The sequence below is a fragment of the Homo sapiens genome, chromosome 3 (genome assembly GCF_000001405.40).
Source record: "Homo sapiens chromosome 3, GRCh38.p14 Primary Assembly".
In the NCBI taxonomy this organism is placed as follows: domain Eukaryota; kingdom Metazoa; phylum Chordata; class Mammalia; order Primates; family Hominidae; genus Homo; species Homo sapiens.
Window position 1 is genome coordinate 143,572,689 of NC_000003.12, and position 24,654 is coordinate 143,597,342.

At 41.7% G+C, this 24,654-nt stretch overlaps 1 protein-coding gene and 1 long non-coding RNA gene across 6 annotated transcripts in view, besides 1 other annotated feature; one reads left to right on the forward strand and one right to left on the reverse strand.

Annotated features, from left to right (window-relative positions):
* The window catches only part of LOC124906294 (uncharacterized), a 29,525-nt gene extending 6,945 nt beyond the window's left edge, over positions 1-22,580 (forward strand). Inside the window, exon 3 of the long non-coding RNA XR_007096123.1 lies at positions 22,290-22,580. This is a non-coding gene — a long non-coding RNA (uncharacterized LOC124906294). The remainder of the gene's footprint in view (positions 1-22,289) is intronic.
* SLC9A9 (solute carrier family 9 member A9) overlaps positions 1-24,654 on the reverse strand; it is a 583,247-nt gene that overhangs the window by 307,467 nt on the left and 251,126 nt on the right. For 4 of the 5 annotated variants that reach the window (XM_017006203.2, NM_173653.4, XM_011512703.4 and 1 more), the window contains 2 exons: positions 5,897-6,035; positions 1,400-1,505 (listed from right to left, as the gene is read on the reverse strand). In XM_017006203.2, the coding sequence (XP_016861692.1) occupies positions 1,400-1,505; positions 5,897-6,035 (245 nt within the window). Of the gene's footprint in view, positions 1-581; positions 657-1,399; positions 1,506-5,896; positions 6,036-24,654 lie in introns of all 5 variants that reach the window. The other variant, XM_011512704.4, reaches the window with a different exon arrangement.
* Positions 13,095-13,154: an enhancer, noted in NCBI's record as "active region_20656". NCBI's record gives its function as "activates an Ori minimal core promoter by ATAC-STARR-seq in GM12878 lymphoblastoid cells {active_cell/tissue: GM12878}" and the evidence as "EXISTENCE:reporter gene assay evidence [ECO:0000049][PMID:35858748]".

The window sequence follows — 24,654 nt, forward strand, 5'->3', positions numbered from 1 at the left end:
CTTGATTATAGTGTCATAAGAACTGGTGGGTGGCTTTCTGTATTGGCAGCAAACACCCTTGAAGCCAACGGGAATAGCTTGGACTGTGTGGTTCTGCAGTAAGTTGGGCCAGCTGATTAAAGCAATAGGTTCTCATTACTAAAAAGATTTGCCATGGCATTCACAGGAGAGCCAAGACCAGCCAAGGAGCAACTGAACCAGGCAGTTGCCTGGGGCTCCAACTACTTCCTTCCTACCTACCCTTAGAGGTCCGCTTGATGTTTCACAGATGGAGTTTCATTTGAGGTAGAAATGCGTGGTCCCCCAGAACCCAGGCTCTAAAATTGAATTTCCTGGTTTTAAATCCCAGCTCCATCACTTACTGTTGGCTGAGTAAACTGGGCATAGTCTTTTACTTTTGAATCTTTCTATCGATTAATGAAATCACCTATGAAAGACAGCTGGCCAGCATCTGGCTCATGGTACACCCTCAATATATGTCAACTTTTATTATTATTTATTATTTAGACTTAAAGTATCACCTATTAAAATGCAAACACCGAGGGAGGTATACCTTGCTACCAGTTACGAAGGATTCTTACCATTCGAATGTCCGTTAAGATGTAATGAGCAGAAAGGGATCCAGGATTGAAACCTGGGAGAAGCAGGGAACGTGGCTTGAGGAGAGAAAGAGCATTAACATTTTGCTGGAAGCCATGGAGATTCTTCTGCATGGAAAAGCACCCAATTGTTGCAGTAACCCAAGCACAAATCCTCATGGTTGCAGAAAGGCAACCTAATTGCTCAATCCAGATCCTAGGATCTGCAGCCCTTGGGTCTAACGAACTGCCCCCTTTCTATCAACTGTTCCACCTTAGAGGACTCTCTCTATAGACTTTCTGTGGTAAGAGACATTAAACTGTACAGCCACCACATTTGCTGTTTGTTTTCCTACCTGCCATGGAACATATGTGAAGATCTCAACCACCGACGTGTATGGAGATGTACCTACCCTAGAGAGCCTGCTAACATTGAAACCTACTGTTAAGAGCCACTGAAAGCCACCACCCTTCTCTACAAAGCAGTTGTGGGTATCCTTTCACACTCTCAATGAAGACTTCCATTTGAAAATCATCCATCACACTATAAATCAGTCTCTTCAACACGCCTCCTGTCCAGCCAGGAGAAGAGAGGAAAGCATTTAGGAGATGTTCCATTAAGCTGTTTGGTACAAAATGGATGAATTACTATTATTTTTTCTCTCCAGCGTACCCAAGAGAGGCTGATTCTGACCCAAACCATTCACATGCACTATTTAAGAGAGACTTCATTTCACCTCCTGCTAGGTCAGGGAGGGGCACACACCAGAGCCACACACATATTCACACATCCAGTTGGCTGTGCAGCATGAAGCACTGACCTGTTAGGCCGGCAGCCTCGGCAGACAGGAAGGCACTCCAAGAAAGCAGGAAAAACAGGCCGGTTTCCAGCATCGGGAACTCACACAGCTTGGTAAATTTGGTCAAGTGAGGAAGATAAGTTAAGGGAAACAACAACAGCTTTTACAGCTACATCTCCTTCTTGGCTGAGAATAAAAACTGATCTGGTGATGATAGCTCTAGAGCAAAGTAAAAGAACTGATATTCAGACCTGACTGGAAGGCCATAATTCTCACTGGGACCTACTTTGAAGGCCAGCACGAGTTCCATGCTTCACCGGGGGCTGAACGTGCCTGTAAAAATTCAAACCTGTGTTCAGATTAAAAAGGTGTCTTCCTAAGACTATAAATTCAGCTCACTGTGGGCCTAGCCTCATCCCTTGGGATGCACCCCTCAGGAAAGGTGTAGCAGGCACGGAAAAACAAAGCCAAGGAGAGTGTAGGGGGATGAGATGCTGCAAGTATGTCAGTACCAAGGAGCGCTGCTCCCTCGGGAGTGCAGTCTGTGGGCAGACGACCTGGTAGAGTCTTCTCTCCTGGGGATGGAAGTAGGATCAGAAGAAGAAGTTACATTCAGTGACAGGGAAGCTGTCCATGCCCTCTTGGTATAAGTAGGATAAGGAGAAGGTATGTTATTTATAGGTTCCATTATTAATGAACCATTATTATTGGTTCATTTTGACAAGGATGACACTTGGTCAATGGTCTATAAATTGCAAATAGAACAAAGGGATAGTAGTGATTCAAGTTGGGCAGAGAATGGATCATGCGGAGATGATTAGGAGTACGTGATCGATGGGAAAGGGTTAGGTTGCAATTGTGTCAATATTAGGCACAAAATGCCCTGACAAATAAGGAGATGTGATCGTGTTGCATTTTTATACTGCTACAACAAAATCTAAAGAAAATTTCACACTAAGAGACATTTAGCAGGGGAGCAGGGAGCAAAAGTGTGACCTCTGGAAAAGAACATTTTATTCTGATTCTTGACTCTGCCAGTGACTGGCTGTGTGATTTCTCAGCAGTATATTAACCTCTCTGAGCCTCATTTCTATTCTACATGAATTGACAATGAGAATAATACCTGATCCTACATGAAAGTAAAATGTGCTGAAGTATGGTAAACATGTTTTGTAAAGTTTTAGAAAGCACAAAGGCAGAATAATATCATGGTGGGGAGTGTAGCATTTGGAAGCCAATTCTACCTGGATTAAAATTCACAGTATTCACTTGGACACATCTCTTGACCACTGTGTGCCTGAGTTTTCCTGTCTGAAAATGAGAATAATAATACCACCTACCTCAGAGGTCTGTAAACTAGTTAATATATGTTAAGTACTCAGAACAGTGCCTGGCATGTAACAAGTGATATGCAACTTGTCTACTGTGGTCTAAATTAATTTTTGGTTTTTTTTGGTAAAACATCTTTTTGGGAAATAGAATCAGTAAGGATCTGGAAGCAATTCTTTATCTGCTGTAAAGAATGGGCTGCCCTGAGATCCTTTTACAATATTCCCTTTTGTTACTTAGAGGGAAGTCTTTGTTTCTAGTGAGGTCTGTTCTCCTGAATTCCCTCTTCTAGTTTGTTTTAAAGAGAATGTTCAGGGCAGGTGAGTAACAAAACAGCAATCAGCTATCTAACATTCTTTTCTTTCAATCTCCTCCAGAAACTAGTTCAGCTCTGGGTCTGCAGAGCTCAGGGGCCTACAACCCGAGGAGACAGCCTCAGAATGAAATGGGTAGGTGGTTAGGAAGGTGAGGAGGACAACAGTAAGCATTTATCTCCTTCATAGCCTGTGTCTGTAGAGCCTGTTGAAGACCACCAAATACTGCACGATCAATGTCACCACTGTTACCGAGCCTGTTTCTTCCGTCTCTACACCCTTTCTTTCAGATCTGATGCAATCTTATGCCAGACTTCCAATCTCCAGGAATTTTTTCTTCCCTTATCAACCTGTTCACATATGTTACACCTTCCCCTCACATCAGGTAGAGAAGAATTCTGATTTTAGTTTCTCCACTTAGCGTAGCCTCCAGAGCCCAAAAGCCTGGGTTTGAATCCTGGCCCTGAAATGTCCTAGTTGTTTGGCCTTAGCCAAGTTGTTTAACTTTAATTGTCTCAGTTTCCTTAGCTGTAAAATTGGGATAGTAACAGTATCTACCTTCCAGTGTTCTTGTAAAACTTATCTGATGATCCATGCAAAACACTTAGGGCAATGGCTGGCACACAGTAACGTTTTCAATAAATGTTAGATGATGTGATTATTACCATGCTCACTATTACTGATATATGATCCTGAGTGAGCTACGTATCCTCCTTGAGCCTCAGTTTCCTCGGGTGTAAGGTGAGGAGGACAATAACTTGTTTTACAGGGTTGATTCAAATGAGGAGATGCATAGAAAGGCTCTGGCACATGCTAGACACTCACAAAATGTTCCTATCCTTGTTGCTGTTACTCACTCTAAACAACACCTGGCCTCCACACAGCTCCAACTAAGAATTAAGAGGCAATAGGGAGCAGTGAAGAGAGCATGTTCGGCCTCTTGATTCTCACTCTCCGGGTTTACTTGCTGGCTGCATGACCTTGGGCAACAGCTTACCCTTTCTAAGCTTCACATCCAATAAAAATAGCATCTGGTGATAGGATCATTGTGAAGGTTAGATGAGACACTCATGGAAAACACGTCGTAGGCAGCCTGTCATAGCATAAGTACTGGGTAGGTCATTTTTTCTTGTTGGAAACCAGCACTACCTCTTCTGACTGACTTTATTTCTGTCAATGGAGATGCCATTTTACAAGGTTCTCAGGATGAAACTTTGGAGTAGCCTTTGACTGTCTCCTTTTCTTTATCTCCAATAGCCAGCCAATCACTAAGTCTTAGAGATTTTTCCTTTTAAATATCAGTCCCCTTCCTGATGCTTCCCCCGCAGTTCATCATCACAGTTTCCCTTGATTCTAGTCTCCTTCCTCTGATTCATCCTTTGTTCCAGTTCCTCATCTATATTTTAAAAACAGGACTGTCAGTGTGTCACTCTCCTGAGCAGAAACCTTTGGCAGCTAATTGTGGACTAGAGAAAGAGGCTCAGACTCTTTGAAATACCACTTCAAGATATTCCACAAGCTGACTCCATCCCTCCTGAGTCCCCTCATCCTCCATTTCTCACTAGCTGGAGCCCTCTGGTCCTCCCAGGCATGTCTTCCAGATGCCACATTGGTCCCACTGCCATACCTTAGTGAATGCTAGTCTTCGCCTCCTGAATCACCGACTGCTCAGCCTTTGCCCCTATTCTATCTTCCAGGCCATGCCCAAAACCCACTCTGCTTATAAATACTGCTTTTCAAATTATTTTCCAGAATCATAAAGTTGGCCAAGGGTATTATACTATTCCAGACACAACAGCCTTGTCCCAGTTTGAGTGTTTACAGTGTGATAACTTCGATGCGGCTCTGGCACTCACTTTCTATCCCAGTCTTAATGTAGAGCTCATCTTTCTAAGCCTGTCACTCACTGAGGGCAGGGTCCTTGTTTTACACATCTCCTGACTCTTCTTAGATACCCCCAGTAGAATGAAGCATTTTAGCAGCTGCTCAGTGAATGTCTGGGCAAGACCCCATAGAAAAAGGCCCCCAATATTTTGCCTTCTCTTTGCCTGGGGCCTTCACCCCTCTGGCACACTTCTTCCTTCTCCTTCCCCTGAGGTCTTTGGCCCTAGATCTTCTGTTCTACCTCTCTTCTGTGGCTCCACCTAACCCTTATACTTGACATTGGCCTTCTGGCCTTCCTCCTCTACTCCAGCTTACTTTTGCCCTATCTGAATGTTCTAAGTGAGCAGCCCACCAGACCAGCTTCTTTCTTTGGCTCAGATTCTCTAGAAACTCCATCTATCATCCCAACTTCCTAACAACAACAAAAAGGAATCAAATGACATGATTGCTCAGGTATGGCACACATATCATTTCAGCATTGCTTGCAGGTTCCCTTCTATAAAGTAGCTGTGGATGCTTGTTTAGACCCACAGTGACCTCTGGCTTGAGCTACCCTGTAAGCTAGTGATTGAATAAGCCTGAAAAAGAGGCAGATCATACCCAATTTATCACCCTTAATCAATTGTCTTATTCTTGACCCTGGATCTTCAGTTCTTCCTCTTGACCCTAGTAAGGCCAATCCTGATGGTTCCCGTTCACTAGTTTTCCTAGGTGATATTTATTTAAGGCTGTTGATGTCCTAGGATCAGATAGTGTCAATAGCATTAGAACTGACCTTGGGCAAGAAGAGAGCTTGGGCCCCTCTGCCACTGGTACCAACCTATGCCTCCAGGGGTGACTGAGAACCAAGATGGCACCAGTGGTGCCGTATGAAACTTGGACCAGACTATCTAGCCTTTTATGGGCCTGGAGGTTGTCCATCATCAGAAATATTCCATGGATACTGACTGTTCTTGACAGTCCCAGCTTTCCACATACAGACAAAGGATATCAGTGCTGTGATGATGGCATACGCAGACCCCATTGCAAATGAGCCAGCGAAGATTCCCAGGAAATTCCCCACAGACTGGAAGAATGCTGCGGCATCAAATGCATTTGGATTCTCCTTGGGACTGTAAATGGATATAGAACTGAAAAGAGAAGAGGGTGGAGGTTAGTTAGTGACTTTCATCTCATAGCCCAGATAGGATTTCGCACCCACTTTGGGGAGAGGTATCTTTCCCTGTAATGTTGGGTGCTGGTTGGAAGAGTTAGGGGAAAACAGATACAGAAGGGGAGAGTTGGAGAATGCAGAAATCTTTCTGCTTCCTTATAGCCCCATCCCATGGGATCTATATATTGCTGCCAGTCAGTAAACATTTTTATATTGGAAGGGTCATAAAGAATATTGTTTCTGAGCAAACTAGGCATTAAAACATGGTAGGTGTATAAGGAATCTGCTGAGAAGATAGATAACTGTGAATTATTTAGTGGCCATATGTCTTCAGTGCTGTTATATATTCACAGATGTTCCTGATAAAAAGTGCACTTTTATGGCCTGTGCACAAATGGGTGATACAAATCACCGTGTGCACAAAATATTCTGCCATGATCTTGTCATAAACCACAAAGCATTCCTCCTCTCCAGTGTAACCCTTCAGAAACAGAGCACTGATGGTGCTCAGAACATCACAGTACTAACCCCCATGGAGAGACAAAACCCTCATTTTCCCACCAAAACAAATGGCAACAGCTGCCCAAGGTCATCTTTTATACCCCAATTCTGGCGGCTGCCAACAGATTTATTTCCATAGAGAAAAATCAATCCACCAATAGGCAGTCTGTTCACTTAAATATTATTGAGGATGTCATATAAGCTATTTTTTTTAAAACCAGGGCCTCAGATCCCAGAGTGTGAATATGAAGGATAAGGCATGTCCTATTTTAGGAAATATGAACTCCATATTGAGCATTAAAATGAACATATGTGCTAGATCCACTAGCTTTAGGGAGACTAATGAAATGACATTTCAGATTTTTTTTTGCAGTTTTTTATTTTAATACAGGATTTTAAAAACTAATCAGGAAAAATCAAGAGTTTAGCAGTGGGTTTTGGAAGAAACTCCAAAAGTAGCAGTGTGGAGAGCAAAAGTACACTAGACACATTGACTGAGATTAGATTGGATTTTACAGAGATGTAACTGAATCTTTTATCTTGCCAATGATTAGAGCATGTTAGCTCTCTGACCTGACTTTTGGTATCCAGAGATGACTTAAGAGAGAGCAAGGGGAACCAACTCCAATGCTTCTACAGGAAGATGTGTGGCATCAAAAAAGGTAGTTTTAAATGGTCTTAGTTTTTTCCTGGATGTCTTTAAACCCCCAAAGTAGGCCAAACACTTCTGCTTTGATCCTGTAATTGGATAAGGAAGATGAATGTGGATCTTGAATGAAGCCTTGAAATGTATGCGAGAAAAGGACTGCCTTTGAAGTGTTTTTCTTTTTTGTAAAGTGTTGTGCTTTGCAGGAAAAAAGGAAAAGTAAACCCACATCTGGGTCCTTTGTATCTGCAAGTCCTGGGAAAAGGTATAAAACTCCACTGGTTGTTAGGAAACCTGGTGCCCAAGGCTGTGATGCTTGATGTGTTTGAGTTGACATTCTCCAGCATGTTTCTTCCTTCCAGTGAAGAAACAAGAGTGATGAGAAAGCATTCCATTTGCATTCTGCCCTTCAGACAAAGGTTTTTGCACAGTAGCACAGCTTTAGAAGTAATTCTATTAACCTGTGGTTGCCACTAGTAGATCTGACCCATAGAACAAGCACGGCTTTATCCTTCTCTCCACCTCCATAACTTCCAGAAGTGTTTCCCTGGCCTGGTGCTTCTGGAATTCTGAGCGCTCCCATCACATCATTTGGCCATACCCTGTACCATTATTTATGTACGTTTTTCTTTAAATCATTTTTATTCAAATTCAGGAGATTTTATTAAAGAATATCTATGAAATCATAAGTTCGATGTGCTAATTATATTTCTTTTTAATATATGTAAAAATAGGTAATTTAGAAAAAGAAAGTTCACCTGTATGTCACCTAAAATCATCTGGGTGTGCCCACTGATCTGTAGTCTGCACTTTGGGAAATGTTCTCTTCCTTCCCACTCAACAGGGTATGATCACTTTGTTCGCCAAACTTTGTACCCTTCCTGTGATATTTGACTTAACTGAAGGGAAAGGCTTAATTATCCTTGACCTATGGAGATTGTCCATTGAATTTGCTGGCCCTAAAGCTCCACAGACATATGCACTAGGTGCCTGCCATGTGACAAGTGACATATTTAATAGGTATAGGAAGTGGGAGGCAGGCAGGGAAGAGCATAGAGAAGGGAAGCAGGATTTGATCCAATAAACATCTTATCAAACACCTGATATATGCAAAGCATAACTCGGCAGGGAAGCCTAAAATGTAAATGACAAATAGCTGTAGTCCCAGTGTTAAGTGTGATTTTGTGAGAAATACACAACATTTAACGGTACAAAGGGGAAAAGGGGTACTATTTTAGAATAAAGGAGGTGGCATTTGAGCAAGGTAGCATGTCATCAGACAGAGATGGGGAGAGAGTATTCCAGGCAGTGGAAAGAGTGTAAAGAAAGGCAAGGAGGCAGGTGAGTTCAGGGCAATTGCAAGACATGGCTGCACCTATGTGGGCACGTGTGGTGGGGTAAAGATGGGTGAGGCAGCATTACTCAGAACCTTAAGTTCCATGGTGAGAATATACTAAATACCTCACATTTACATAATATTTAGCCCTCTTGTGCCTACAGTATAGCTTTATTTGATCCTATAATAGCTCTGTGAAGTAAGCAAGGCATGTTTTGTTCTCTCTCCTTATCCCTTTCTCTCTCCTTCCTTCCTTCCTTCTTTCCTACCTTCCCTCCCTCCCTTCCTTCCTTCTTTCCCTCCTTTTGTCTTTCCTTCCTTTCTCTTTCTTTCTTTGCATAAAAGACATAAACTAAAAATCAGAGAAACTAAGATCACACAGCTACTAAGTTCACAATGTAGATTTCTTGTTTCTCCCTTTAAAAAGGCGATCATGTTGTGGGGAAACATAAACCCACATCAGGATAGTTGAGTGACAGTGTGATGCTAACTATAAGGACAACAGGAGTTCAGGTACTAGAACATTTATTTTCATGCCCGGGATGGAACATGGGCAGCACCTTCCTGTATACAAGCATAAGAGCGGAGTATGTTGACTAGGGCAACAGCACCGTCTCTCCTGGCCCACCAGCAGGTGAGACTCAGAACTTCTCAGGAAATCCTGCTTTCCTGCCTGGCTTTTCTGAGGCTGGACTCGGTCTTGCTTCTCTTTGGATGCCCAGGACACAGCCTGTTGTTTGGCACATGGCAGGGTATAAAAAGGCTGACGGAATGAAGGTGCGGGACAACTGGAAAGGAGAAAGGAATAAAGAAAGAAAAGCATGAAGGAAGGAGGCTTGCAAAAGCTCGTTATCTCTTGAAGCAAATCACCACCCACAAGATTTTTTAGCAGACATTGACTATGCACAGTCATATTGTGGGTACTTTTATGGGTATCAATCTAATCTTGAAACTGACACCTGTGCCTCTTAATTTGAGCCCAAGATCTGATACTTATTGGCTATATGGCCTTGGGCAAGTTACTGCATATTCAGAATCATTTACCTCATCTGTAAAATGGAGATAATAATAGTATTTATCCCCTAGAAATGTTGTGAGGATATGAGATACATTTAAAACTCTTAGATATATCTTGTGGATTAAGTCGTTCCTTGAGTACTTATATGTACACTCAAATACTCAGTGAATGTTATTTATCCTCACCGTCATCATCATCATTCTGCTGAGAACTTCCACAAGTCTCACAATAACAACAGGGTGGTCAGTTACCACTGTGGGCAAATGGGGTGTGACTGCCCTCAGGGCACACCAAGCTCTGAGGTTGCTGGGGCTGAACTAGTCACTTTTGCATAAGAACAACAGGGTGTCCAGGAAGGAAAGTACCAGGCAGGTACCGCAGAGAAATGGCCATAGGAGTGGGGCTAAAATGTTCTCATGTATTTCATGCAGCTCTTGGCTCAGTGGATCAAGGAGGGAAGGAGTGCCCTCAGCTGTGTGGGCAGGGGTCTGCTCCATGGACAAGAATAGGTCAGGAGACTCAGCTTGAGTTGCATCTCTTCAAGTTTAGTGGAGGATGTTCTATAAGCAAAGTCCTCTGGCTTCTAGTAAGAAATGAGGCAAAAGAAGCAGAAGCCAGGCTGGGCAGGGTGGCTCGCTCCTGTAATCCCAGCATTTTGGGAGGCCGAGGTGGGTGGATTTTGATTGCTTGAGTACAGGAGTGTGAGACCAGCCCAGGCAACATGGCAAAACCCCATCTCTAAAAAAAGTACAGAAATTAGCTGGGTGTGATGGTACTTGCCTGTAGTCCCGGCTACTCAGGAGGCTGAGGTGGGACGGTTGCTTGAGCAGGGAAGGTTGAGGCTGTAGTGAGCTGTGATTGGGCCACTGCACCCTAGCCTGGGTGACAGAGCAAGACCTTGTCTCAAAATAAATAAATAAAAATATATATAAATTAAAATTTAAAAATAAATAAATTGGAAATAAGTCCAGGATATTGATTCATTCTGTTCAACAATAGATTATTCAGCAAAATTAGTTTGATGACAGTGTATTGGACCTATACTCAAAAATAAATGTGTGCAGCATCTTTTATTCAAAAATTTTGAAATGTATGAAGTATCCTAAATTCTTTGATGAAAGCAACATGAATAAGGATCATTTTGCTTACTGTATCATTTCACTTTCACAGACATTATTGAGACTTCAGTGTTTCTCTACAACTCATCTTTTCTTCTATATGATGCTCCTGCAAGGAATGGGTCTGATAGCTTAGGCAGTGTTAAGAGCATAGAATCTGAATCTGAGTTCTGGGTGTAAGTCTCAGCTTACTGCCACTTACTGCCTATGTGAACTTGAGCAAGTTATTGAAACCACTTTTATCTCAGTTTCTATAAAATGATGATGACAATAATAGTACCAACCACACTGGGTTGCTATGAGAATTAAATGGATTAATGTTTATAAAGCATTTGAAATGGTGTGTCTCACCCAGTAAGAACTAGATAAGCATTTCTTAAATAAATCACCTCTCTCTCTGAGTGCTTCATTTAGTTCTAAAAGAAGCATTTCAAACAAATGTTCAATCAAAACTTCTATCCAAACAGAACTAAGATTTTACCACCTGTCTCTCCCACTCTGACTGTCCCAGGCCTACCATCTTTGGGTGGCAGGGATCATCTGATCATATGAATTTGTTTTGTGCAGAATGGTGTGTGGCACATAGTAAAGTGCTCAATAAATGCTAGTAATGAAGAAGAAGGAGGAGGGGGAGAAGAAGGAAGAAAAAGAGGAGGAAGAAGAGATGTTGTGAGTGAAATGCTGCTGATAGTGAACATAAAATAATAGGTATGAAAAATATTATATAGATGGCACCACAACAATGCCCTCCCCTCTGTGGCTCTGGCTGCCCTTCCACTGTGGCCTTACGGAGTCATCTCTCTCCTGATCACGACACTCTTCCTCAAGGTCTCCTAGTTTCCAACACCACCTTCCCCTGTTATTCTTTACTGGGGCTGCTGAGACACTTTGCCGCACAGTTACCCACAGAAACTACCCAGCCACCTCAAGCTCCTGGCGGCCCTGGTTCCACAGGATGCTCTCCCTGACCGGTCCTCTCAAATCCCACAGCCTACTCACCCTCCTGGGTGCCCATGCCAATTAGAACAGCCCGCTTCTCCAGCCTCAGTCCAGCCTCACTCCCTTTGTTAACATGAAATCAATGTCGCTTGAAAGCTTATGAAAAGAACATATGAAGTGAACATATTGTATCTCTTGCAGGATTTCTATTAATTTAGTCATTACAGAAAAAATGAGAAAATGATTACTGTAGCCAAAGATATACAAAAGAACCTTCCATTTTCTCTGCCAAATATGTAATCCCTAACAAAAAAATTATTGGCACCAGTTCATTGAAAAGTTCTTGATTAGTTGGAACATACATAAATATGAAATGGATCTTTTTTCCAATCACTGCTTCCAGCTGTACTATATCAAATCCCCCTTTGTGCTGGGTAAGTAGTTCCATTAATGATATCTTGGTCAAATCCCATTACTGAGTTCCTTTCAGTTATTAAAACTTAGCGCAGCCCAACTTAAAACCTAAATCTTCAAAGGTGGATTCCTGTTGTCCCTGTAGAATATTCTAGAGCAGCAGCAGGATGACTGGAAAGGAGGGAAGGCAGCATGCTCCTCCTCCTCACACCTGGTGCCAGTGTCTGCTGGTGATGGAAGCCTGGAGGAGGGCTGGGGAGCCCAGCTCTCCTCTTTATGGGCGTAACTGCTTGTCAGCGGTGTGTAGGGTCCCGGCCTGGTCTCAGTCTTTTTGCTGCTTTGTCCCTGTCTTAGAGACCTCTGTTGGCATGATGGCACCTCCATTTTGCTGAGAATCCCTTCACAGCTGCCACAAGATCTTCCAGGTCTATACACTTCCAGCCTATTTCCTTGGGTTGGGTCAGTAGCCACTTGGGCAGCTCAGTGCCTGTCACCCCTCAGGAGGTGAAAGGAAATTCCTTGTGGACAAAGGACAGACAGAACTCAAAGTCATCCCTCTGAGCCTCACCTGAGACAAATGCATATCTGATTGTTTCTGCCCTATAGTTTATGTAAAAATACAGATTTCACTGAGCCAGACTAAATTGTATATTCAGTGGAAGGCTGATCAAGGACTCAAAAGAATGCAACCTTTTGTCTCTTACCTACCTCTAACTTGGAAGCCCCACTTCCAGCTCTCCCTCTTTACAGGACTGAACCAATGTACATCTTACACATACTATACACTCATGTCTCCCTAAAATGTGTAAGAGCAAGCTATACCCTGACCACTGTGGGCACATGTCATTAGGACTTCCTGAGATTGTGTCACGGTTGTGTCCTTAACCTGGTCAAAGTAGACTTTCTAAATTGACTGAGACCTGTCACAGATATTTTGGGCTAACATCGCCAATCTCCTTAATCTGGGGTTCCCCTGAGTACCTTCCATGGGCCATAGAACACTGGGCTGGGTGGGCTTACCCCACATACTCTCAAGGCACATCAAACCCAAGAGCCTTCAGGTTCTGCTCATGCTGACTCCTGCTTTCAGAAATCTTTAGGCCAGAAGAGGTGCTGGTCTCTGTGTTTTGTGTGAGCCCACACTCTGAGGGCCATGTCCAATAACTCCCTTCCCTTGCTCTGCTTTGAGAGGGCTTTGGCTCCACTGCAGGTTCTACACTGTGGGATGAGCTCGCAGCCTCTGTCCTTGCAGGTGGCACCAGCCTTTCCAGGTGATTCCAGTAGACTCCCCTTCCCCTTGGCTTAGGGAAGAGGAAGAACTTTCATGGGAAGGGATAACAGTATAACAGTTTACACCTCAAACACTGCACTCTCCCCAGGGATAACCCCTTTCCTTCCCCACCCCGTCATACACAGATGTGAGGCAAAGGGGATGGGGTGGGGGCGGGGGAAATGAGGCTGCTTCTGATGCCAGTTAAGCCAGCTGAGGGGTGAGCATCCTAACTGCTGGGGAGACTTGCTGCTCTTTTTAGTATGAAACCATTTAGCAACTTCTGTTTTCAGCCATGGTTCCTAACCCCAATCTGGTAAACAGGAAAAGATCCACAAGATCATCATGTGACATTTATGTGGGAGTGCTTCTAGTTTCTTTTCTCCACATCTACAGCTGCCTTGTCATTCTGCTTTTAAAGACACATTTTAAGGACCAACACAACATAAAGGGGCAACGAAAATGTGTAAAACCTGCTCTGTTTTTTTGGGCCTGGGTGTCACAGGTAGGAAGCAAGTAGATGAAAAACAATTACAGTGCTATTTTGTGTTTAAAATTCTTTATGCCTTAAAAAAAAGAAGTGGATCCTTATCTATTATTTATCTTTTAATAACTGTACCAACCTGCCCTTTCTCAGATAAGTTGCTTAATTATGAATAAGGAATTGATTTTTATGGGGCCAAGAATTGTGTGTACACATCGGAATTCGTTCTGGCATCTCCCTGCCCATTATTCTGGCTTATGTTCTGCCAAAGGCCAATGAAGCTCTGTCAAGAGAACCTACTGTAAAACATAATGACTTCAGAAATTGGGGGCATTCCAGGCACCCTGGGAGGTTAGAAGAGCTGCTTCTTAATAATAAGAGGTCCTGGCCAAAGTTCACTGAGCTTGAGTAAGAACCATAGGGTTTTACCTTCCCAAGAGCCAAAGACCCTGCAGAGTCAAGAGCTGTGTTTGAGGGGAAACATCAATTAACTCTTTCTGCTTCTGAGGGACCATTTAATGACTGCTCCTTAAGAATCCAAATGTATACCAGAGAGTGATTTTCCAAATCCTTGATGAATATCATCTTGTCATTTTGATGTCAGGCACAAGAGAAAAATACAAGAGGAATTCCGTGGGAAGGATAAGCTAGTGTATCATGGCTTCCTCGGGAATAACGCAATCTCAGGCTGAATTAATTGATTCATTCCATCCACAAATATTTATTGAACATCTACTAAGTACAGACATTGTTCTTAGCACTGAAGGTACTGCAGGGAACAAAACACAGCTCCTGACCTCATGTTCCTTACATCTCAGTGGAGAAGAAAACATAATAAATAGCTAAGCAAATAAATGTGTAATTCAATGACAAGGATTGAAAAGAAAAATAAAACAGCAAGAGAGGATGGGACAGAGAGGATTGGGATGGTCAGGGAAGGCTTCTCTGACAAAGATTATTAAGTGGAGTCCTGAATGAAATAAAGGGAGAGCTTTCTAGGCACCGAAGCAAAGCTTGTTCAGTGGGTCTGAGAAGCCACAAGGAGGCCAGCATGGCTGGAGGGAAATGGTGGGGAGGACAGTGGTGGGAGTCAGGCTGGAGTCAGGCTGGAGCCGGGCCAGGGCCATGTCTTATAGAGCCTTTCGGGACATTGTTAGGATTTTCTTCTAGGGTGAAAGAGCAGGCACTGGAGGGTTGGGGTAGAGGACAGGGGTGTGATGGAATATTCCAGGTGAAGTCTATGTTAGTTACAGTGGAGGAAGGTGGGTGGGAGACAACATGATCCCATGACACTCTTCAAAGGCTGCAGCAGCCAAGCCTGTCCTCATCAGCCTGGATGCCACCACCTAAACGAGACCTGACAAATAACAGCAGACCACAGGAAATAAAGTAGAGTAGTGAAGAAAAAGATTGAGAGAAGTATGGGAGTTCAAAGTATAGATTAATTTAGCAGAAACAGCTGCAGTGAGCATTTGAAAGGTGGTTGTGCAGAGGAAGGACTGGACTCATTCTTTGTATTTCCAGAAGACAAGATATAGTCCAAAAGTAACGTATCATAGGAAGACAGATTCCCAGCTTTATATTATATTTCAAAATTTTCTAATTCTTAGATCTGATGGAAAATGGGATGGGTACTATAAAAGGGTAGTGAATTCTCTGTAGTTGGAGATGCTTTAAACATAGAATAAAAGAGTTACTTGCCAGGGTGCTGTGGAGGAAATTCATGCCCTAGAGAGTTATAATGTGGCCTCAAGGGTCCTCCCACCCTGAGGGTCATTGACTTGCTATCTATTTTCCAATTTCCTCCAGGCCTGCCAGGAAAGGTAGTAAGGTACTTGGCTTTCCTGTGCTAACCCAAATCCTGACATTGGAAATGTCTGAGCACGCAGCCAGTAAGGAGCAGTACTTCAATAGAGGATGCAGATGATTTAGGTTGGAGCCAGGTTGATGATGACATCAAGAACAGTTACAAATTTCAGCACAGAAGAAAGCCTTTGACAGATTCCTAAGTGGCTCTGGTCCATTAAGTTCCAACTTTTAAGGTGACAAAGAGGCCTCTGAGTTTAAAATTGGTTAAAAGGGAAGAAGAGTTAAAGGAGGTTTGTTATGAATTATATGTGCATTTTCTTTGAAAAGAGATCTTAAATTACTTTCCAATTTAGCTTGAAACATGTTGTCAGAATTGAATTAGTCTGTGGGCTTTGAGAAATATTCTCTTATACCTAATATTGAGAGGAAAGTGAATTTGAGATAGTCCTAAAGATAAAAGCAACTTGCAAATTCACTTCTTATTTCTTTTTCTTTCTTTGTATTTCTCTTTAAAGCAGAAATAGGAATTTGAATCCCACTACTGTGGGCCTATTCATTTAAGAAAGAGAGAATAATTCTCATGGCCTAATGGGAATTTCTATCCTTTCTCCAACTTTTCAATTTCTTTAATCCTCATTAATGAAATCTTAGCTCCAAAGAATGCTGTCATATGCGAAATTTTAGTCATAATAGATATAAAAAGGTATGGAAAAGTAGGTTAATAGCCACCAAAGATGGAAATCCAGCTAAAGTTAAAATATAATCATAAACAGGTGCAAGCAAGACCAAATATTAATCCCCACGGTTGAAAATAGAGAAGGAGGTCAAATTCTCCAATGTTTACTGAGCCCTCAAAATACGATTCCCTGTATTCATTTCTATGAAGCATTCACTATGTGTCAAGCACTATGTTAAGCATTTTTATAAGCATTATCTTCTTTAACCCTCAAAGTAAACCCCAAAGAAGGTGCTACTATTATTTCCATTATAGATAAGGAAATTATGGCTTAGATAGATTAAGTAACTTTTAAAATTTCACCTCATTTAATCCTTCCAATTATCTAACAAAAAAAGTACAACCATGCACTGCATAATGACATTTCAATCCACAACAGACTGCATATACAACAGTGGTCCGGTAAGATTACAATACGGTATTTTTTTAATGTCTCTTCTCTACGTTTAGATACAGAAATACTTACCATTGGGTTATAACTGCCTACAATATTAGTATAATAACATACTGTACAGGTTTGTAGCCTAGAAGATATAGGTTATACCATATAACCTAGCTGTGTAGTAGGTTATACCATCTAGAAGACTTGTGTAAGTACACTCCATAATGTCTGCATGATGATAAAATAGCCTAACAAAGCATTTCTTAGAATATATCCCTGTTTTTAAGACATGCATGACTGTATTGTTCTCAGTTCAGAGATAAATAGACTCAGGGAGATTAAATCACTTGCCCAAGGTAACTTGCAGGTAAATGGAGCATCATTAGATTCAGATCTCACCAAGGGAAAGCCTGTGACTGGGGAGTGGAAATGCCTGGCTCTACCACCGGAATGTGCTCACAGAGAAATAACTCGAACATACACCCCAACTTCATAGACTGAGGCAAAGTCCACTCTTGGAAGTTGAAAATTTCAGGATTTCTAGTATTAATTTGCAAGAAAAAAAATTACATTAGTTAAAATATCTATTTCAATATGAGGAGTTTTGCTGACAACCTAGGGCTACTTACAGGCCAAGATTTCTTAATGGAGACCTCTCCTCTATATTGAATGGGTTTTAATATGAAACTATATCCCATATCTCCTGGCATTCATACCAACACCAACTTAGGTTTGCCATCCTACGCAGTTTGTCCTGTTTTTCCAAGTGGTGACTACTGTCTCTTTAGAGTAACTACTTATCTGTCTCAGCATCTTCATCTGGAAAATGGTGATAACAATTGTGTTTCCTTCATAGAGTGGGGATTAAATATGTTAATATGTGTATAGTGCTTAAAATGTTACCTACAACATGGAAAGCACTCCAAAAATATTAGCTGTTATTATTGCTATTTGCATTAGCTATATCTTTCACCATTTGCTCAAAAGAAACTAAATAAAAACTAAGCTCTACTTCTAATAATATAAAGGCATTTGGGAATTCCAACTAGTGTATTAGAACATTATAAGAATCTTTTGGGGTAGAATGAACAATAGGCTTAGAGTTTGATCAAATATTGAATTCATCTTTTTCTTAATAAGTCCTATAGAGCAGAAGGCTACTGGGATAGTATCAAACAAGGGGATGCATGTAAATTGTTAACAATCACTAAGCATGGACGATCCATGGTTTTGCAAATCTAACAAAGCTGAACTTTTAGCAGCCTTTCAGGGAAGGGTACACCGAGGTAGATATACCACAGAAATCCTGTGGCTACACCTGAAGGAAAATGTGTTTGTGAACAGAGGGTGTTTAATAAAGTTGTGTAGACTTGCTGATTAGCAACAGTCAAGGAAAAAAAACCATGAAAACAACGGAGTTTGCTTTCATGGCAAGATCACCAATTCACAGCTCACCACATGCTACATAGAGATAAAGAAGAATCAGCATAGGGCACTTGCTTAGATTGGAGCCTGCAGCGTTTCATAAATGCTGTGTGCTGAGGACTGTGATGAGTGGCTGAATAAAATGCTAGTTTCCTCTCTGGGTCAAAGGAGTCTTCATAGACAATGGGCTGCCTTCTTAATCTGGGTGCCTTTCATTCTCACATTAGATAAACCCCACTCCCATTATAAACAGCTGCCTGAGACGGCCTGAGGGAGTTTCACCTAGTGACAAGCCAACTCCTGGAAAATATTTGCACTGATAGACTCATTCCCCCAGACCCTTCCCTGATCTCCCATTTATTAGCAATTAAGTGAGCATCTGGGCCCCCATCACAGCTCAATTTAATTAAGAATCTGTATCCATCTTCTTAGAGTTGCAGATAATTTCACTTCGGTTCAAGTTATCTTTGGAAGGAAAGCACATAGTTATCTTCTTAAACTAATGTATTTCACAAAGGTAGTTGCCTCATTCCCACAGATTTCAGTGTCATGTGTGAAGCATGGGAACTGCAGGCCAGCAAATCTTATCAAAGGAAGTTTTGCTTCTATGTAATATTCTTAACTTATATGTTTCTAGGCGTTGCCATGAAGTGTATATTCTATAGAGGAGTCCTCTCTGGTATTAGCTCTTCAGGACATGGCTTTATCTGGAATAAGAATATGGACTTTAACATATATTTGAATCTCAAGCCAATACAGCTTGTAAGAACTGATGTATTACTAACTCAAGCAATTAATAGACCTGTCTTGTCCATGCAATAAAGGTAGTTACTAACACAGAGTCAGAGGCTAGATATAAGGATGAACAGTTCATCTGTCAAGGCCATAGCCATGCCATGGAGGAGCACAATATATTGCTTGGTGCCAGGAACTAGGGCCCTGCATGCTGGAGCAGCCTTGAAGTACCAAGAGGATGGTTTTTACATATCGAGTTGGACAATAGGTCAGAGGCTTGGGGAACATGTAGACTGGAAGACTACATAGGCATTGGGAAGGAGGGAGGTCAGTGGACACTTCAAGTTAGAAGCAGGTAAACAAGCTATCAGTAGCATGTGAACAACAAGCAAGGGACTCAGGAAATCAATATTCTGGAAGCCTGGGGATGAGTGTAAACTGAACATTTGTAAATGCATACATGCAATTTTCTGGAAGAAGATTCCTTAAAACTTTCATCACCTTCTCTATGTGGTCCATGACCCCCCAAAAGGTTAAAAACCACTGAAGTAGTGATCTGCAAATACTGACAGTAGAACAAGGAGGGAGTGTTCAAAAGCTGAGGCAAATGGTAACTGGCAGAAAGTGAGACAAGAGGAAGAATTGAATAATCAGTGCAAGGCACATGAAACAAGAGGACCTTGGTGGCTGGGCGCAGTGGCTCACGCCTGTAATCCCAGCACTTTGCAGGGTGGAAGTGGGAGGATCACTTAAGCCCAGATGTTCAAGGCTGCAGTGAGCCAAGACTGGTCACTGCACTCTAGCCTGGGTGACAGAGCAAGACCCTGTCTCAACAACAACAACAAAAAAAGTGCCTTGATAATGGAAGAAAACCTGTGCCCTGGACCATGACTTTTGCACTCTTCCAGCATGGCTGGGATCAAACGTGGCTGCTCCAGGCTAGCAGACAACATATGTGAGAACACAATTAAATTAATGATAGATCAGAAAGACTGGCTGTTCCTGATGCCTAAGTATATGTAGATAGAAAAGTGAGGTTTTGAGAGTTGTGTTTACATGGGAGTGACTGACAGAGTTGGGAAGTGTAGTGGGTAACACCATGAAGCATACATTAATTTATGGCCTGGATCTGCTCTACTTTCTATTCATGATGTAAATGATGTTAACTGTATTGATTCAATACATCAAAGGTCATCTGGCCCGGACTCACCATCCCTGCCACCATCACCAGGGCTCAGCTCTCTCCAGGTCAACCAGAATGTGTGAAACACTGCAGCTCCCAGGCCTTGGTTAAGTTTACCCATGGCTAGATCTTCAAAAGATCCACTGTCTGCATATACATGTCATTAAAGCAAACAGGAGAAACAGGCCTATGCTCCCTGGAACATGGGGGAGAAGTGTTCCTTGAGGGAAAATTTATGAAATAAGTAACACCTTGGTAATAGTAATTAAAAAAAAACTTGGAATGCATATTCCTTTGTCTAAGATGGGTTAAAAGGAGAGAATTAAAAAAAAATTTGGAATGCATATGCCTTTGTCTAAGATGGGTTAAAACTAGAGAACTGTGCATACGGTTCATAAAGAAGAAAGGACGTAGGTAAGGTACGGGCCAGAAGGAGGAGTTGGTACAAGGTGTCCAAAGGTAGGGCTCCTCCTGGGAGCACAGGTGGCAGAGAGTGAGGACTGCTTTTTGATGCTTTCCCTCTACTCCTTTTATAGCAAATCTCTCATTTTCTCTCTCTGTAGTTTTTATTGATCAGGTTTTCTTTTGTATTACCATTCTCACCATCTGATGGATAAGCTACCAGCTAGTGGGTACTGTTGTACTATACTCCCCAGGTGGAACCAAGGGTATATACAAAAGGTAGAATTTAATAATTATATCCCAGTGTCTCCTCTGGATTAAGTGTATTCATTAAACTTTTATTCAAACCTATTATCACCTTCTTGGAAAATCCAATTAAAAAATACTTTAGGGCCATTGTTAGGAAACATGCAAATAGAAACAGAGGTGATCCAGTGATAGGAGAGGAGAGTGTCATTTACATAAATAAAATAAAGGACTGTGGCACCTTTCAGATCTACTGTGCATGTGTGAAAGGAAAAGAGAAAGAGGGAGAGGGGCTGTAAAATTTATAGTGAGAAATAGCAAAATCCTTGTTTTTATTCATGAAAAGCCTACCTTATCACTTAATGCTAATGAATGTCATTAAAAGGATGTTGATGCATAATTAGAGATTATAGCACCTTGACTTCATGTGAAATGTGATGGTGAAGACCCAGGCAACCTCAACCATGGGAAAAGTATGATAAACCCCACAAACCTAATGCCAGAATGTGGGGACTATAATAAAATGGAGTCTCAGAGAACCAGAAAAGTACCCCTGCCATCCTCTGCCTTGGATTTGCCTGACAATCCTTGGCTATGCCACCAGCCAGTCTGTGTTGGTGGCAATGGAGGGGAAGGAGGGTATTGGTTCTGTTAAATTATTTACATTAAAATGTTCAGCCCTTAAAATTCTGGATTTTAAAAAAAGAGCTTAATTGGTAAGTTCCCAAAATGAGGAGAGAGAAAAAAAAAATTTCTGGCTTTGCAAACCATAATACAGTACGCTAGCAAGATATAAAAAGGTAATTTGTTAGTAAACTGAGTGATCACCATGTGCAATCCCAGCTTAATTTTAGAGTCTTAAATACTGAATTTGGAAAGCATATATATCTATTTCAGCAAAATGTTCGATGTTGAAATTCTCTTGGACTTTGTGCTTTCTACATTGCAATGTTAATAGCTGCCGTTTATTGAGGGCCTCTTGCAAGCCAGAACTGTGATATGTATCTTATTTACATTATTTGTAATCCTCACAATAACCTCATAGCAGAGATAATATTATTTACATATCACTAGAGGAAATTGAGGAGTGTTAACCAGGTGGCCAAAGTCACGTGGTGAGCAAGTGGTAGGACTGACATTAGAATCCTGGTTGATCTGGTTCCAAGCTCTTCTGCATTTTGATGCTCCCACCCAGAGAACTGTATGTTGGGAAGTTTGTGCATCAACGAAAGGTTTGTTGTATGTGGTGGTCCCAAACGGTAAGTTCCTATCTTGGGTCCTATGTAGTCCCCACTGGTAAGGTCTCTAAAGTATCTAGTTTAACTTGTATCTGCACATTTTCTTGGCTCTTTATTTAATATTAAACCAGAAAAAAAAAATGTGGCCCCAAGGGCTATTCTGAGAAAGAAGAGCCTTTGAAACAGAAATGGAAAAGGATTCGCTTCCCTCCAGACTTTCCCCTATGCACAACAAAATGTTTATGTTTGAAAGGTGGAATGTTTGGCTTGTTATCTGGGAGGAAGTAGTATATCTGTCCTTGGCTGCTACTAAATTGTACAGATAATTAAAACATTATTTTTCTATCAGAACAGAATGTATTGCCAAATGGAGATTCCTTTGGGGACAAAATGATGAAAACCTATACCACCAAAGCAGACTGGAGTACATCTAGACAGGATGTCACTAAGAAATGGAACCTGGAAGACTTCTTTTTGAATGCATGATTTCTGTTTCAAAAGACACAAGGATATGGGGCAGTGGTTTCTTGTGACTTAAGCTCATCAGCAGAGGCTCTGAGTGGAGCTAGTGGATTTGGCCCTCTTTGCTGAGCTGTTGGGGAGATCCTCCCACAAAATCATATTTCTTTTGGCTTCAGAGTTCAGCAAAATTGAGTATCTTTTTAAATGAAAAATTAATTATACTAAGATGTATTTCACTTCAGATGGTGATGATCCATTTTCTACCAACAATCCTTATCAAGCATCTGCTGAGGCTACCTTATCCAGGGAAATGCTTTGACTTCTTATGAAGAGAATGGTATCTCCCTTCTTTATTGCTGCATTACTTTCAACATTCTCTTTCCTGAATCAGGATTTAAACCAATACATCCTTCAATCTTGCTTAATTTAGTGAAAACAAGATTGTTAGAGTTGTATTCCTCTTGAGTCTCTCAATTAAGATCAGATACAATGCTATGAAAAAACTGATTAGGGTGATGTAGGTGAAGTATAGAAATGAGGAAGTGAGAGCAAGAGAGAGCACTGGACAGAAACTACAAGACTGGCAGAAGCTTGTACTGACTGAAAAATTAGCCATGATTGGCAGGACAAAGGATATATGGGAATAAACGTGGGCAATAAAACAGCAATGAAGATTTCTCTGGGAAGACTCCTTCAAGTGGTGTTTAATCCCCGATCTGGCACTGTTGGGTGTACAGTTGCTTGGTTAGTTTAAATGAGGAACAGGTTTGGCAGCAGAAAGGAGGGAGATGGGACCTACTCCTTGTTGTACAATAGATTCTAATATGCTGCTTTGTCTTAGTAAAAAAAATTAAAATAATCCCTAGTGGCTGGGCTTTGAGGGGGGAATGTTTTTATGTTTCAGTCATTTTTCTGGACCAGGATGAGATGGAGGGTTTTTGCAATATGTTTCCTATAGCCTAGGGCAAAAACTTTCTCCGTGGGCTTCTCTATGTCGTCTGAGTGATGAGAGGGAAACAAACCAGGGTACGACATAGTTTAGTAAAGCCTGGATCACATGAAAATTTGGTGGTAAATACATACTCTAAAGCTTTAGGGCCCATAGCTAAAGAAAAAAATTTTGGAATAACTTTTTAAAAGAGATTTGAAATTTGTGAGAGATAAAGCAGATAATATAAATCCTAATCTCTTCTCAACGTGTGTGTGTGTATGTGTGCGTGCACAAACACACACACACTCATACACAGAGAGATACACACACCTGGGTCATTTCATCAGGTATCAGAGTTCTTTGGAAGTGAGTGAAGGATTTTGGTTTTGATGGATGTTCTTGCTATACTCAAGGCTTTTTTATCTGTAGCCTTTTTGAAGTTTTATTATTTCCATAAGTTAATATTGATATCATTTTTCGGTTTCCTCATAGATAGATCCTGTCGAATTGTCTGGCTGTTTTTATCAAGGATATGGTCTATGGGATCATTAAAATGATGTGACATCATGCTTACAGAATATTTTAAAAACTCATTAAAAACTCAAAATGCAGGGTTTCTCCCTACAATGTATGAAGTCTTTTTCTTTTTCTTTTTTTTAAAGACAGGATCTTGCTGTGTCACCCAAGCTGGAGTACAGTGGCATGAATATGGCTAACTATAGCCTCGACCTCCTGGGCTCAAGTAATCCTCCTGCCTCATCCTCCCATGTAGTTGGGATCATAGGTGTGCATCACCACACCTAGCTAAGTTTTATTTTTTGTAGAGATTGAGGTCTCACTTTGTTGCCCAGGCTGGTCTTGAACCCCTCGGCTCAAGCAGTCCTCCTGCCTTGGTCTCCCAAAGTGCTGGGATTACAGGTATGAGCCACCACACACCCAGACCTTGTATGAGGTCTTAAACATATGTCACGGTAAATCTTTTTTTTTCTTCTATGTTCCTCTTCACTTACCTTCTTCATGTTCAGTAAAAAGAAAGTGCCAGAACATATAGCATGAGCCATTGTAAGATACATGGATGTGCTTTGGTTAAGGAAAAGGCCGAGGCGGATATCCAGGCGAGTATGAGTCAGCAAGTTTGGTGCGCAGGCACACACCTCCACTTATTATATAGCCTGTTCGTGTAAGTTCATGCTTGGCTTGGAGCCACTATTGTCTGTAAAAGGTATAACTGTCCTGCTGACTCTGTGCACGGGGCTTAGCTCTTGGGGGGCTCGGCTCGGCTCAACACGGCTTGACATGGTGGGCACGCTGGCGTCCAGAG